At 34.5% G+C, this 15,599-nt stretch overlaps 1 protein-coding gene across 23 annotated transcripts in view; it reads left to right on the top strand.

Annotated features, from left to right (window-relative positions):
* NEK1 (NIMA related kinase 1) overlaps positions 1-15,599 on the top strand; it is a 219,775-nt gene that overhangs the window by 96,906 nt on the left and 107,270 nt on the right. For 12 of the 23 annotated variants that reach the window (NR_164630.1, NM_001440625.1, NM_001440624.1 and 9 more), the window contains 3 exons: positions 7,347-7,430; positions 7,886-7,963; positions 8,546-8,641. Coding sequence is in view for 22 of the 23 variants with exons in the window: in NM_001440625.1 (NP_001427554.1) it covers positions 7,347-7,430; positions 7,886-7,963; positions 8,546-8,641 (258 nt within the window). In the remaining variant the exon portion in view is untranslated. Of the gene's footprint in view, positions 1-6,825; positions 6,910-7,346; positions 7,431-7,885; positions 7,964-8,545; positions 8,642-15,599 lie in introns of all 23 variants that reach the window. The other 11 variants (NM_001440622.1, NM_001199398.3, NM_001199397.3 and 8 more) reach the window with 2 other exon arrangements.

The following is a 15,599-nucleotide window of genomic DNA, read 5'->3' as shown; positions in this document are numbered from 1 at the left end:
TGGGGACTGTGGTGGGGTCGGGGGAGGGGGGAGGGATAGCATTGGGAGATATACCTAATGCTAGATGACACATTAGTGGGTGCAGCGCACCAGCATGGCACATGTATACATATGTAACTAACCTGCACAATGTGCACATGTACCCTAAAACTTAGAGTATAATAAAAAAAAAAAAAAGAAGTTATTGCAATCCTAAATATGTATACACCAAATAACCATACTTTAAAATATAGAGAGCAGAAACTAATAGAGCTGAAAGAAGAAGTAAACAGGTTCACAATTACAGTTGAGACTTGAACATCCTGCTCTCAGCAATTGATAGAACTACTAGACAGAAAATCAGCAAGGATATAGAATAGCTAAACACCATCACTAACCACCAGGATCTAATTTGCACTTACAGAATATTCCACTCCACAATAGCAAAATACACATTTTAAGCACCCATCAAAAATTCATCAAGATAATATACTGAATTATAAAACCTTTACAAATATAGAGAACAGTGGAATTAAACTAGAAATCAGTAGCAGGAAGGTGACAGGAAAATCTCCAAACATTTAAAAATTAACACACTTTTAAATAAACCATGGGTCAAAGAGGAAATCTGAAAGGAAATTTAGATGTACATAGAACAGAATGGAAATAGACACACAACGCACAAAAATGTGTGAGAGCTGAAGCACTTCTGTGAGGGAAATTTATAGCACTAAATGCAGACAGTAGAAGAAATGTCTCAAATCACTGTAAATTCCTAACTCAAAATACTAGGAAAAAAAAGAGCAAAATATTCCCAAATCAAGCAGAATGAAGTAATTAAGAATAGATACTGATAAAATTGAGACCAGTAATACTATAGAGTAATGTAATGAAACAAAAAACTGACTCTTAGAAACATAAAAGTGAATTTGATAAGTCTCTAGCAAAATTGACAAAGATAAAAAAGACGCAAATCACCAATATCAGAAAAAAATGGGTATAATTATAGATCTTGTAACAATTAAAAGGATAAATTCAACTTTACATTCATAAATTCAACAACTTAGAAGAGATGAACCAATCCTATAAAATTCGTAAACTACCAAAACTTAGCCAAGTTGAAACAGATATCTTAAATTTTCCTATAACTGTTTTAAAAGTTGAATTCGTGATTCAAAAACTATTGAAAATCTCTGGGCCTAGATGGTTTCACTGGAAAATTTTACCAAACATTCAAAGAAGAATTAACACCAATTTGATACAACACTACAATCTGTTCCCAGAAGTAGTAGTGGAGTGAATACTAATCAACTCATTTTGAGACTGTATTACCCTAATACCATAACCAAAGACAGCACAGAAAAGCAAACTACAGACCAGTATCTTTGATGAAATTAAATACAAAAATCCTTGCCGGGTGCGGTGGCTCACGCCTGTAATCCCAGCACTTTGGGAGGCCGAGGCAGGTGGATCACCTGAGGTCAAGAGATCAAGACCATCCTGGCTAACATGGTGAAACCCTGTCTCTACTAATAATACAAAAAAATTAGCCAGGCGTGGTGGCAGGCGCCTGTAGTCCCAGCTACTCAGGAGGCTCAGGCAGGAGAATGGCATGAACCCGGGAGGTGGAGCTTGCAGTGAGCCAAGATTGCACCACTGTACTCCAGCCTGGGCAACAGAGCAAGACTCTGTCTCAAAAAATAAATAAATAAATAAATAAATAAATAAATAACAAAAATCCTCAATAAAATTTTAGTAAATTATATCCAGCCCCAACCAAGTGGAATTTAGTCTAGATGTACAAGTATTTTACAGTATTAAAAAATCAATGTGATTCACCATATCAACAGGCTAAAGAAGGAAATTCATATGATTACATCAATTGATACAGAAAATCTTTTGAAAAAAATCAGCACCCATTCATGATTTAAAAAAATAATAACTGTCAGCACACTAGAAATACAGGGGAATGTTCTGAACCTCACAATAGGCATCTGCAAAAACCCTGCATCTAATATTATACAGGTAGAAGACTGAAGGATTTCCCTCTACAATTAGGGAACAGGCAAGCATGTAACTTTTACCACTCATATTTGACATTGTACTGTAAGTTGTAGTTACTGCAATAAAGCAAGAAGGGGCATACAGAATTGAAAAGATGAAATAAAGTTGTTGCTATTTCAAGTTGATAATGATTATCTGAATGGGAAATTCCCAGAACTCTACAAAAATACTCCTGAAACTAAAAAGTGAATTCATTATAGTTGCAGGATACAAGATCAGTACACAAAAATCAATTGAATTTATATATATTGACAGCAAGTGGAAACTGATACAAAAAATGTAATGCCATTTACAGTTGTTCCAAAGAATGTGAAAAAGAATGCTAACAAAACATATGCAATATTAAATGCAATTAAATGACAAAATGCTGGTGAAAAAAATCTAAGAAGACCTAAATACTTGGAGAGATACATTGTTTATGAATCAGAAGACTCACAACAGTAAAAATGGCAATTCTTGTTAAATTGGAGAGATAATGCAATTCTTACTAAAATCTCAGAAAATATTTTTTAATATAGACAGGCTTATTTTAAAATTTATATGGAAAGAGAAAGACCTTAAAGTAACTAAAACAATTTTGAAGAACAACAACTTGGGAAGAATAACTCTTCCTGATTTTGAGGCTAACTTATAGCTACAGTAATCAAAACAGTATAGTAGTGGCAAAGGGATAGACACATAGATCAATGAAACACTATGGAGAGTCCCAGAATAGATGCACACAAATATATATGCCTAACTGATTCTTGACAAACACATAAAAGCAATTCAGTGGAGTAGGAGTAACCTTTTCAATATTATTGTGGGAGGAATTGGACATCCATAAGCTCTACCAACCTTGACCTAAACCTCAAACCATATAAAATAATTACCTCAAAACAGATCATGGGCTTTCATATGAAACTGCAAAACTTCTAGTAAAAAGAGAAGAAAATTTGGGGACCTAGTACTAGGCAAAGAGTTATTAGACTTGACACCAAGAGTATAATCCAAAAAAGGAAAAGCTGATAGAGCAGGCTTTGTCCAAATTTAAAAATTTGGCTCTGCAAAAGACCCTGTTAAGAGAAAGAAAATACAAATTACAGGTTGAGAGAAATGTTTGTATAGCACTTATCCAACAAAAGGCTTATATTTAGAAAATATAAAGAAGTATCAAAATTCAACATTAAACATAAAAGATCCAGTTAGAAAATGAGGAAAATTTATACAAAACATTTCACCAAAGAGGATATACATATGGCAGGTAACACATGAAGAGATACCCAAATCATTTGGAAAATGCAAACTTAAACCACAATGATGTTATCACTTCACACCTATCAAAATGGCTATAATAAAAAAATAGTGATAAAACCAAATGCTGATGAAGTTTTGAAGAAACTGGTCACCTATACATTGTTGTTTGGAATGTAAAATGATACAGCCATTGTGCAAAATAGTTTCACAGTTCCTTTTTAAACTAAAAATGGACTTCATACCAAGAACCAGCGATTTCATTCTTGTGCATATGTTCCAGAGAAAAGAAAACTTGTTGTCACTTAGAAACTCATTCATGAATATTCATAGAAACTTTATTTGTAATAGCAAAAAAACTTAAAACTACCCAAATGCCCTTTAATGGGTGAATGAATGAAAAGACTGTATCATAACACTATATCCACCCCATGGAATACTGCTTTGCAATGAAAAGGAATGAACTATTGATGCATTGCAATACCATAGATGGACCATATATAATTATATTGAATGAAAACACTCAGTCTCAAAAGGACACATATTGTGAGTCTATATAGAAATTATGACATAATTATCAAGATGGAGAACAGTTTAATGGTCGATGGGTTAGGGATGGAGGTAGTGAATGTGGCTATGAAGTGTTCCAGTAATAATACAGCTAAGCATCTTGATTAGGGTGGAATTAACATAAGATGACATGAGTGACAAAATTGTGTAGATGCACGGCACAAATAAAAGATTATATCTATAATTTGAATCAATGTCAGTTTCCTGGTTTTGATGGTGTAATGTAGCTATGCAAGATGAGAAATTTGGGAAAGGCTGGGTGAAGGGGCACACAGGACCTCCCTGTATATTCTTTTCACCTTTCTGTATATCTATAATATTTCAAACCAAAAAGGTTTTAAAACTTCAGAGTAACTCAGATTCTTGCATTTCTCAAATATCATGAAAGGAAGTTATCATCTATAGCAATACTCAATTCACTACCACCCACTCCCCTTAACTTTGTAGATACTCCCATATGCCTTTTCAGAATTTATCTCACATCTTTGCCCAGCGCTGCTTATTTCTTATTTTCCTTCATCTCCCCAACTCTTTGACCTATATATATCTCAAAAGCTCAAATACTGATAAGCTATTGCAAGGGCCTTCTTGAAGAGGGGAGGAAACTGAGTGAGTAAAGGTGCTTTGTCATGCTGCAAAAGAAAAAAGGTAGGGCATGCTCTTACAGTAATACTTTTTTGCTCTGGTACACCCAAGAAGTAGGTGTTTTTATGCCTAGACTTAACAACAAGTTTAAGCAGTTTTGTTTAAGATCAACAGTGCTTATGTGATGTTGACAAAAACAGATTTCAGAGTCTGTATTTCATGTTCTTAACTAAAATATACTGCGCTTCCACCATTATAATGCACTCTAATGAGTGCTACTGTGAGAGGTTTCTATAAAGAAATGGTATGGAAGGTCAAAGGAAGCACACTTAACTCCCTAGAGAAGGCTTTGAAGAGGCTTCTGGGGTGAGATACTTGGTTTGAGTTTTGGAAGATGAGTAGAGTTACCCATCTTAAGAGGATGAGTGAGATCATGGTACAGTTTACAGACCACAAGTAGTTGTCGTAGCCAGAATGTAGGATTTATGACTGAGCAGTGGCAGAGATGAGACTAGAAATGGCGAGATCACAAATGGCTTTACCTGCCATTCAACAGAATGTGAATTAAAGTCTGAAGATAATAGTAACCATTGAAGGATTTGTGTGGGATTTGATGTGAAAGAGAAAGGTTACTCTCAGGGCATTGTAGAGAATGGAATTGTGGGATGTGAGACTAGAGGTAGGATGAGTTGGGAAACTCATTTAGCAATTTAAGAGTCAAAAGAAGAGAGGCTGAGCTAAGGCAGAAACTGAAATGATCAATTATAGAATTATTAGGAGATAGAATTGGTAATTTGGCATATTTGAGTATAGTAGGTAAGAGGCAAATGTAATTCCTAGTTTGCTGACTTGAGTGGCTGATCATGTTCAATAACTGAATTGGGAATAAGATTATATAGTAAAAAGAAGGATAAAGTCAGGTTTATAAATTGAGGTAGCTTTGCTGCGTAAGAGTGGAGTTGCCCAGATGTCAGTTTAACATACACAGAAAGCTGTAAAGAGAAAAGGGCTGCAAGGTTTGGGAATTGGCAGCATATGTTAAAGCCTGGGGATGAGAAGAGAAGGAGGGCCAGCAAATGAAACTCTAGAAAATATTGACATTCAGCAACAAGCCAAGGAGAGAAAAGCCTGTGAAAAATAGTGACAATTGAAAGAACCCAAGAGAGAGTGCCATTATAAATACTGAAAGAGAAGAGAGACTTTTTAAAAATGTGTGAATTATAGAACATTTGTATAGTGGAGTGTTATGAATAGTATATAGTCACTTAAGAATAGTGTTTGTAAGGAATATTAAATGGATGTGGGAAGAGATTCAGGATATAATATTGTCTGGATAACTAGTAAAATACCAGTTTTATAAAAATAAACATGTATGTATTATACATATGCAGAGAAGGAAATTTGGAAGACAGTACCCTCAAATTTTAAGTTTCTCAGATGGCAGAATTATAAATGATTCACATTTTCTTTATTTTTTAATAAATTTTCTATAATGAGTATGTATTATGTTATGACAGAAAAAAATGCATATATAAATTAAGTGGATTCAGTCAAAACTAATTTCCAGTGGAAATGTTAAATGCAAAAATCACTCAGAAGGGCTCATTTCAGTTGTGAAGTAGAAAGTCATTGGTGACCTTAGAAAATTTTCAGTCATAATGGGATCAGAAACTAGATTGTAGTGAGCTAAAAAATGACTGGGAAGCAGGAAAATTGAGATGATGAATAAAAAAAATACACATTCAATAAGCCAATAAAAAGACATTTGACAGGAAAGTGGGACTAAAGAGTTTTTTTTAAGGGAGTAAGTCGAAGCATGCTCGTATGCTGAAGGAAGAGAAATATATAAACTATGTTCAAAAATGAGTCCATTTTTGATTGGGTTTGAACATTTGCTGTATAGTAACTGAACATGCCTGAGTGCACAGAGTTTGATTGAGATCTCTTAATTAATATACAACCCATTTGTTGAATTCAGAAAAAGTGATCTCAAATATCTTATTTTGTATGTGTTTAGTATATATATAGACATATGTCGAAATGGATTGGCTGTTTGTAGAGGAAAATTTGGTTTGGGGTTTAACCTCCAAAGCAGTGATTTAAAACAAACAAACAAACAAGCAAACAAAAAAAACCCCTCTTAAGTGACTAACACAAAGATAGCTGGTCTCTGTTTTGAATAATTATGTTTGGGGCTTAATTGCTTCCTTCTGTTCTCACTAAATATATATTTCAAGTTGACATAGGAAAACGCCAGGGTTTGTTATCACAGTTTATCATCAATAAATGGTCAGTATTTGCCAAAAGAAATAAAGTAGCACCTGGATATTCCTTGGTAAGATAATAATGTAGCCTTAGTCATTCTTTAAACTTAGTACATTAAATGATAAACAGGGAATCCTGCAAAACCTGGCAGCTATGTATGGAGGCAGGCCCAGCTCTTCAAGAGGAGGGAAGCCAAGAAACAAAGAGGAAGAGGTATGCTTCCCGCATGTTCGCTACCTCCATCACATAGCCATTTTTGAATTTATTGCCTTCTTTTCTTGCATGGTTTAAATTCTTAACAATTATTTGAAGATTTTGTAGGTCTGTAGGGACCTGTTAATATATTTTTGACTGACATTCTGTGTTATAATTTTGCCCCGTAACTTATTCAATATTATGATTTCAGTTTCTTTTCTTTTGATTAAATTAAAAATTTGTAATTTTATAATGTATTTCTTTCTTTTCAGAAATAAATTGTTCTTAATTAAACACTTGAAAGCTAATATTACATTTCCATTAACCGGATTTCAGAACTTTTATTTCTTGTGTTCAAATTAACACTGTTCCTTAAATTTAAAAAAAATCTAGCAGTAAAAATGTCAATAGCTTTGCTTTTACATTATTATGTTGGGGTTTTTGCCTCCTTGTAGGTTTATCTGGCAAGACTGAGGCAAATAAGACTACAGAATTTCAATGAGCGCCAACAGATTAAAGCCAAACTTCGTGGTGAAAAGGTAGGTTGAAAAGCTATTTTTTTGAAGAAATTGAATGATGTCATAGTAGGTTAACATTTAAAATGCTGTGCCATTAACAACAACGACAACAACAACAAAACTGATGACGACAGTGGAAGTTCAAAGATCAAAAAACTACACATAAAGTAAATCTTATATATGTGATTTTAAATTGATAAGACCATTTGTTCCAGAGAAATTCTGAGAGGAAAATATAACTAGTATTCATGGGAGGATTAAAATGCATTTTATATCATTATCTTTTTGTTCCATTGTTCTGAAAGGCTGATAGTGGTGGAGAGTTCAGTTGCAGCTTTAGGAGAAAACTAACAGCATTAAATGATTTCCATTTTATATTTTTAGATTTTAGTTTATTCATTGTTATCTTTCACAGAGCTCTGCACTCAATTTGATGATTCTATCCTAAGTGATTTGCTTATCTACTTATTTTGTAGAAAGAAGCTAATCATTCTGAAGGACAAGAAGGAAGTGAAGAGGCTGACATGAGGCGCAAAAAAATCGAATCACTGAAGGTATAGACTAGAAATGATACAGGTTTTCTTAGAGAAAATTGAAAGCTGAGATAGCAAATTGTGTTCTTAAGTTTTGCATAGTTATATCACTTTAGTCTCTTCCTTTAATTTTTCTTTCATCTTTCTCCTCCACTTTTTGGTTTCTAAAAATAGTATTTTTCTCTTTTTGTATTATGTTTATGAAAATAGATAAAACCATGGCATAAATACATGAAACTATCATATAAGTAATCTTGAAAAAAATGGTAACCTTAAAAATAAAAAATATACGAATATACATCCCCATGAAGGCAAATGAAGTCTGTGTATAATAATTGTTTTAAATTTTTACATTTTTTTCACATTCAAATATACCTGCCTTTATTTTCACTCAGCAAATATTTATTGAACACCTGCTGTATGTCAAGGCTGGTTTTAGGTGCTAGAGATTTAGAGTGAGCTTACATTTTTATTCTAAGACCACATGCACACTTCTTTTTTGGCTAATAAGTAAATATCTTCATAGACCTGGCCCAAAAAAAAAAAAAAAAACCTCTGCCCTTCTTTCTGGTAACTCATTTTGTTAATTGTTTTTATTTTTAGGCCCATGCAAATGCACGTGCTGCTGTACTAAAAGAACAACTAGAACGAAAGAGAAAGGAGGCTTATGAGAGAGAAAAAAAAGTGTGGGAAGAGCATGTAAGATTTAGCTCATATTCTTAATCCTGGTTGTATTAACATTTTTATAGCTCTTCCTGGGTAGTACATCAGTATTATAATTTTCTTGTGCTTTTTTTTTTCTGTTTTTTCATTCTCATTCTCTCTCTCACCCTTTCTCATTACCTCTCTCTTTCTCAGTCTCTCTGTCTCTCTCGCATTTAAGAATAATCAATGTGGAAGTTATTTGGGAGATTGATTTGAAGTCAGAACTAATTTATCTTATTTATTTATTATTATTATTTTTTGAGATGGAGTATTGCTCTGTCACCCAGGCTGAAGTGCAGTGACACGATCTCGGCTCACTGAAGTGCAGTGACACGATCTCGGCTCCACCTCCTGGGTTCAAGCGATTCTTCTGCCTCAGCCTCCCGAGTAGCTGGGACTACAGGCACGTACCATCACGCCTGGCTAATTTTTGTATTTTTAGTAGAGACAGGGTTTCACCATGTTGGCCAGGCAGGTCTCAAACTCCTGACCTTGTGATCTGCCCGCCTCAGCCTCCCAAAGTGCTAGGATTACAGGCATGAGCCACCACGCCCGGCCCTTACTTTATTTTAAAATTTTTAATTTACTATTACCAAGTAGCTTATCAAAATCCCAGCATAATTTAATGACTACATCATCCTTCTGTCACTGATTTATAATGCTACTTGTAAGATTTATTAAATTCTTATATAAAACAGTGAATGAATCTATAGCAAGTATGTATCAAGCTATATCTTCCTTTGGGCTTTCTCCTTTGCTCTGTTACTCTGTCTTTTCTGCCAGTACCTCGTTGTATTAGTAATTATTTACAATATGCTTTAATTTCTAATAGAATTCTTTCCGCATTTCCCCTTTACTCTCCTTTTTACACTTATTGTTCTTAGTTATTTGCTCTCTTTTTCTTTACCAGATACATTTTTAGGGTAATTCTTGTTTCTTTTTTTTTTTCAATCATATTGTAATTTTGATTAGTATTATATTAAACCTACAAGTTAAGAAGAATTGACATAGTTATAATAGTTTTTATACAGAAACAAGTTAAATTTCTACATTTACTCATAGTTTCTTTTATATCTCTTACACAAATTTTGATCATTTTCACACTTATCTGTTGTATTTCTTATAAAGGTTATTTCTAGATAGTTTATAATTCCATTTCAATCTTTAAAGGTTTTTTTTCCTAACAGAATATTGCTAATATTTGCAGACATTTTGAGTTTTTGCTTATCCTCTTATCCAGTGAGTTTTCCTGTTCTGCCAATTTTAAGTTAATTTTCTGGGTTTTAGCCTACAACTAGATCATTGGCAAATAGTCGTGATATACATCATAGTAACAACAGTTCCTATAGTTTATTGCTTGTTTTATGCCAGGCATATTATAACCACTCTACTATTGACCCATGAACAACATGGGGGTTGGGGCATTGGCCCCTTGCACAGTCAAAAATTCACATACGACTTTTGACTCCCCGTAGTCTTTACTACTGATATCCTACTGTTGACTGGAAGCCTTGCCAGTAACATAGAGTAACATATATTTTATGTTATGTGTATTATATGCTGTATTCTTACAACAAAGCTAAAGGAAAAATGTTATTAAGAAAATCATAAGGAAGAGAAAATATATTTACTATTTTTAAATGGAAGTGGATCATCATAAAGGTCTTCATGCTCATCTTCAGGTGGAGTAGGCTGAGGAAGGAGGAGTAAGAGGGTTGGTCTTGCTGTCTCGGGTGGCAGAGGCAGAAAAAAAAATTGTGTGTAAGTGGATTTGTGCTGGTCAAACCTGTGTTGTTCAAGGATTAACTGTATATTTATTGTTTTTTTTAATCCTTACAACTTTACAAAGCATATATAGAAAGGATAAAATAATTATATAAAATATTTCCAACTAAGGGCAGAACAAAGATTTGAACCTGGATCTGCCCAATGTTGAAGTCTTTTTCTTACGCTGTTTCCCCTGTTTTCTGTAAGTTGTGCCTTAAAAAAAATTTTTTTTTTACTTTTAATTTTTGTAGGTACATGGTAGATGTATATATTTATGGGATACATGAGATATTTTAATACAGGCATAAATGCAAACTAATCACGTTAGGGTAAATGGGTATCTATCACCTCATGCATTTATCCTTTCTTTGCATTTCAAACAATCGAGTTACACTCTTTTAGTTATTTTTAAAGGTACAATAAATTATTGTTGACTATATTCACCCTGTTGTGCTATCAAATACTGAATCTTATTCATTTTATCTAATTTTTGTACCCATTAACCATTCCCACTTTCATGCACTACCCTTTCCAGCTTTTGATAACAATCATGTTCCGTTTCCATGAATTCAATTGTTTTAATTCTTTTAGTTTCCACAAATAAGTGAAAACGTGCAAAACTTGTCTTTCTGTGCCGGGCTTATTTCACCTAACGTAATAGAACTCCAGTTCCTTTCATATTGTTGCAAATGACAGGATCTCATTCTATTTTATGGCTGAATAGTACTCCATTGTGTTTATGTCCCACAGTTTTCTTTATCCACTCATCTGTTGATGGACAATTAGGTTGCTTCCAGATTTTGGCTATTGTGACTAGTCCTGCAATAAACATGGGAGTGCGGATATCTCTGATATACTGATTTCCTTTCTTTTGGGTATATACCTAGCAGTGGGATTGCTAGATTGTATGGTAGTTCTATTTTTAGTTTTTTGAGGAACCTCCAAACTGTTCTCCATAAGTGGCTGTACTAGTTTACATTCCTACCAACAGTGTACGAGTGTAAGAGGGTTCCCTTTTCTCCACATCCTCGCCAGCATTTGTTATTGCTAGTCCTTTTGATGAAAGCTGTTTTGACTGGGGTGAGATAACTCATTGTCATTTTGATTTGTATTTCTCTGATGATCAGTGATGTTGAGCACTTTTTCATGTACCTGTTTGCCATTTGTATGTCATCTTTTTAGAAATGTCTATTTAGATCTTTTGCCCATTTTAAATTGGATTATCAGATTTTTCCTGTTGAGTGGTTTGAGGTCCTTATATATTCTGGTTATTAATCCCTTGTCAGATGGGTAGTTTGCGGATATTTTCTCCCATTCTGTGGGTTGTCTCTTCACTGTGTTGATAGTTTCCTTTGCTGTGCAGAAGCTTCTTAACTTGATGTGCAATCAAGTCCATTTGTCCATTTTTACTTAGGTTGCCTGTGGTTATGGGATATTACTGAAGAAATCTTTGCCTAGGCCAGTGTCCTAGAGAGTTTCCCCAGTGTTTTCTTTTAGTAGTTTCATAGTTTGAGGCCTCAGATTTAAGTCTTTAATACATTTTGATTTGATTTTTGTATATGGCAAAAGATAGGAGTCTAGTTTCATTCTTCTGCATATGGATATCCAGTTTTCCCAGCACCATTTATTGAAGAGATTGTCTTTTCTCAAACGTAGATTCCTGGAACATTTGTCAAAGATGAATTCACTATAGATGTATGGATTTATTTCTGGGTTCTCTATTCTGTTCCACTGTTCTATGTGCCTGTTTTTATGCCAGCACCATGCTGTTTTGGTTACAGCTCTGTAGTATAATTCGAGGTCAGGTAATGTGATTCCTCCAGTTTTGTTCTTTTTGCTCAGGATAACTTTGGCTATTCTGGGTCTTTTGTGGTTCTATATGAATTTTAGGTTTTTTTATTTTTTACAAAAAAATAACATTGGTAATTTGATAGAAATTGAATTGATTCTGTAGATTACTTCAGGCAGTATGGACATTTTAATGATACCAAGTCTCCTTCCATGGGCATTAAATGCACTTCCATTTGTTTATGTCATCTATGATTTTCTTCATCAGTGTTTTGTAGTTCTCCTTGTAGAGATCTTTCACCTCCTTGGGTAAATGTATTCCTCAGTATTTTTGTGTGTGAGTGGCTACTGTAAATGAGATTGCATTACTGATTTCATTCTCAGCTTGAATGGTATTGGAGTATAGAAATACTACTGATTTTTGTAAAATGATTTTATGTCCTGAAACTTTACTGAAGTCACTCATCAAGTCTAGGAGTCATGGTGGAATTGTTAGAATTTTCCAGGTACAGAATTAAATTGTCCACAAAGAGATAATTTGACTTTCTCTTTTCCTATTTGGATGTCTTTTATTTTTTTCTCTAGCCTGATTGCTCTGGCTGGGACTGCCAGTACTATGTTGAATAGGATTGCTAAGAATGGAATCCTTGTCTTGTTCTAGTTCTTAGGAGGAATCCTTCTAACTTTTTGCTCATTCAGCATGATGTTGGCTGTGGGTTTGTCATAGGTGGTTCTTAATATTTTGAGATATCTTCCTTTGATGCCTAATTTGTTAAGTGTTTTTTATCATAAAGCAATGTTGGATTTTATCAGATGCTTTTTATGTGTATATTGAGGTGATCATATTCTTTTTTAAAATTCTGTTTATGTGGGGAATCACATTTATTGGTTTGTGTGTGTTGAACCATCCTTGCATCCCAGGAATAAGGCTCACTTGATCATACAAATTTTCATTTTAATGTGCTACTGGATTTAGTTTGCTAATATTTTATAGAGGATTTTTGTGTCTATTTTCATCAGCAACATTGGCCTGTAGTTTTCTTTTTTTGTTGTGCCCTTGCCATATTTTGATATCATGATGAAACTGGTCTTGTAGAATGAGTTAGGGAGGAATCTCTCCATCTTAATTTATTTTCAATAATTTCAGTAGGATTGGCATCAGCCTTCTTTGTATATCTTGTGAATCTATCTGGTCCAGGACTTTTTTTTTTGATTGGTAGTTTTTTTTTTTTATTACTGTTTCAATTTTGTACTCATTATTGGTCTGTTCAAGGTTTCAGTTTCTTCCTAGTTCAATCTTGGGAGATTGTGTGTTTCCAAGAATTTGTTCATTTCCTAATTTTATAGTATGTGCACATGGGGATGTTTATAGTAGTCTCTGAGGATCTTTTGTATTTCTGTGGGATCCGTTGTAATGTCACCTTTGTTATTTCTGACTGTGTTTATGAATCTTCTCTTTTTTTCATGTGTTAATCTTTCCAGAAGTTTATTAATCTTGTTTATCTTTTTGAAGAACCAACTTTTCTTTGATCTTTTCTATGGCTGTTTGGTCTCAATTTAATTTAATTCCGCTCTGATTTTAGTTATTTCTTTTCGTCGGCTAGCTTTTGATTTAGTTTCTTTTTGTTCTTCTAGTTCCTGTAGGTGCAGCATTAGGTTGTTAATTTGAGATCTTTCTATTATTTTTGTATAAGCATTTAATGCTGTAAACTTTCCTTTTAACTGCTTTTACCATATCTCAGAGGTTTTGGTATGTAGTGTTTCTACTTTCATTTGTTTCAAAAATTTTTTTAAATATCTGCCTTAATTTTATTGTTTTCCAAAAGTCATTCAGAAGCAGGTTGTTTACTTTCCATGTATTTGTGTGGCTTTGAGAGTTCCTCTTGGTATTGATTTCTATTTTTATTCTACTATGGTCCAAGAAGATGCTTAGTATGATTTCAGTTTTTTAAAAAATTTATTGAGACTTGCTTTATGACTGAGTATGTGGTCAGTCTTAGACTATGTTCTGTGTGCAGATAAAAAGAATGTATATTCTGTGGTTGTTTGGTGGAGTGTTCTGTAGATGCTAATTAGGACCAACTGGTCAAGTGTCCAATTTAAGTCTAGAATTTATTAGTTTTGGGCCTTGATCAGTTTAATGCTATCAGTGGGGTGTTAAAGTGTCCACTATTATTGTATGATATTATTGTCTGTCCCTTTTCTTAGATCTAGTAGTAATTGTTTATAAATCAGGGTCCTCAAGTGTTGGGCATGTACATATTTAGGATAGTTAAATCCTCTTGTTTAATTGAACCTTTTATCATTATGTAGTACTTTTCTTTCTCCTTTTGTACTGTTGTTGATTTAAAGTCTGTTTTATCTGATACAAGAGTAGCAAGCCCTGATCTTTTTTGTTTTAAATTTGTGTGATCTTTCTCCATCCCTTTACATCAAGTCCTTTGGGTGTCATTACATGTGAGATGGGTCTCTTGAAGATAGCAGATGGTTGGGTCTTGTTTTTTCATCCAATTTGCCATTCTGTGTTTGTAGTGAAGCATTTAGGCCATTTATGTTCAGCGTTAATACTGATACGTGAGGTTTTCTTCCTCTCTTAGTGTTAACTATTGCTTTGTAGTCTCAATTGTATAGTTGCTTTATAGTGGCAGTTGCTTTGAACTTACATGTACTTTTGTGGCAGCAAGTATCATTCTTTTATTTTCATGTTTAGAACTCCTTTAAGCATTTTTGTGGGGCCTATCTGCTGGTGACAAATTCTCTTAGCAATTGCTTGTCTGGGAAAAACTTTATTTCTCCTTTGTTTATGAAGCTTACTTAGCTTGGCAGGCTGTGAAATTCTTGGCTGGCATTTCTTTTCTTTAAGAAGGCTAAAAATAGGCCACCAATGTCTTCTGGTTTGTAAGATTTCTGCTAAGAAATCCATTGTTGGAGGAGGAGCCAAGATGGCCGAATAGGAACAGCTCCAGTGTACAGCTCCCAGCTTGAGCAACACAGAAGACAGGTGATTTCTGCATTTCCAACTGAGGTACTGGGTTCGTCTCACTGGGGAGTGTCAGACAGTGGGTGCAGGACAGTGGGTGCAGCGCACCGAGCATGAACCGAAGCAGGGCGAGGCATCACCTTACCCGAGAAGTGCAAGAGGTCAGGGAATTCCCTTTCCTAGTCAAAGAAAGGGGTGACAGACGGCACCTGGAAAATCGGGTCACTCCCACCCTAATACTGCGATTTTCCAACGGTCTTAGCAAATGGCACACCAGGAGATTATATCTGGCGCCTGGCTCAGAGGGTCCTATGCCCACGGAGCCTCGCTCATTGCTAGCACAGCAGTCTGAGATCAAACTGCAAGGCGGCAGCGAGGCTGGGGGAGGGGTGCCCACCATTGCCAAGGCTTGAGTAG

Source organism: Homo sapiens, chromosome 4 (genome assembly GCF_000001405.40).
Source record: "Homo sapiens chromosome 4, GRCh38.p14 Primary Assembly".
NCBI lineage: Eukaryota > Metazoa > Chordata > Mammalia > Primates > Hominidae > Homo > Homo sapiens.
Note: the sequence above shows the minus strand (reverse complement) of the source record. Positions and strands in the feature narration are given on the sequence as shown.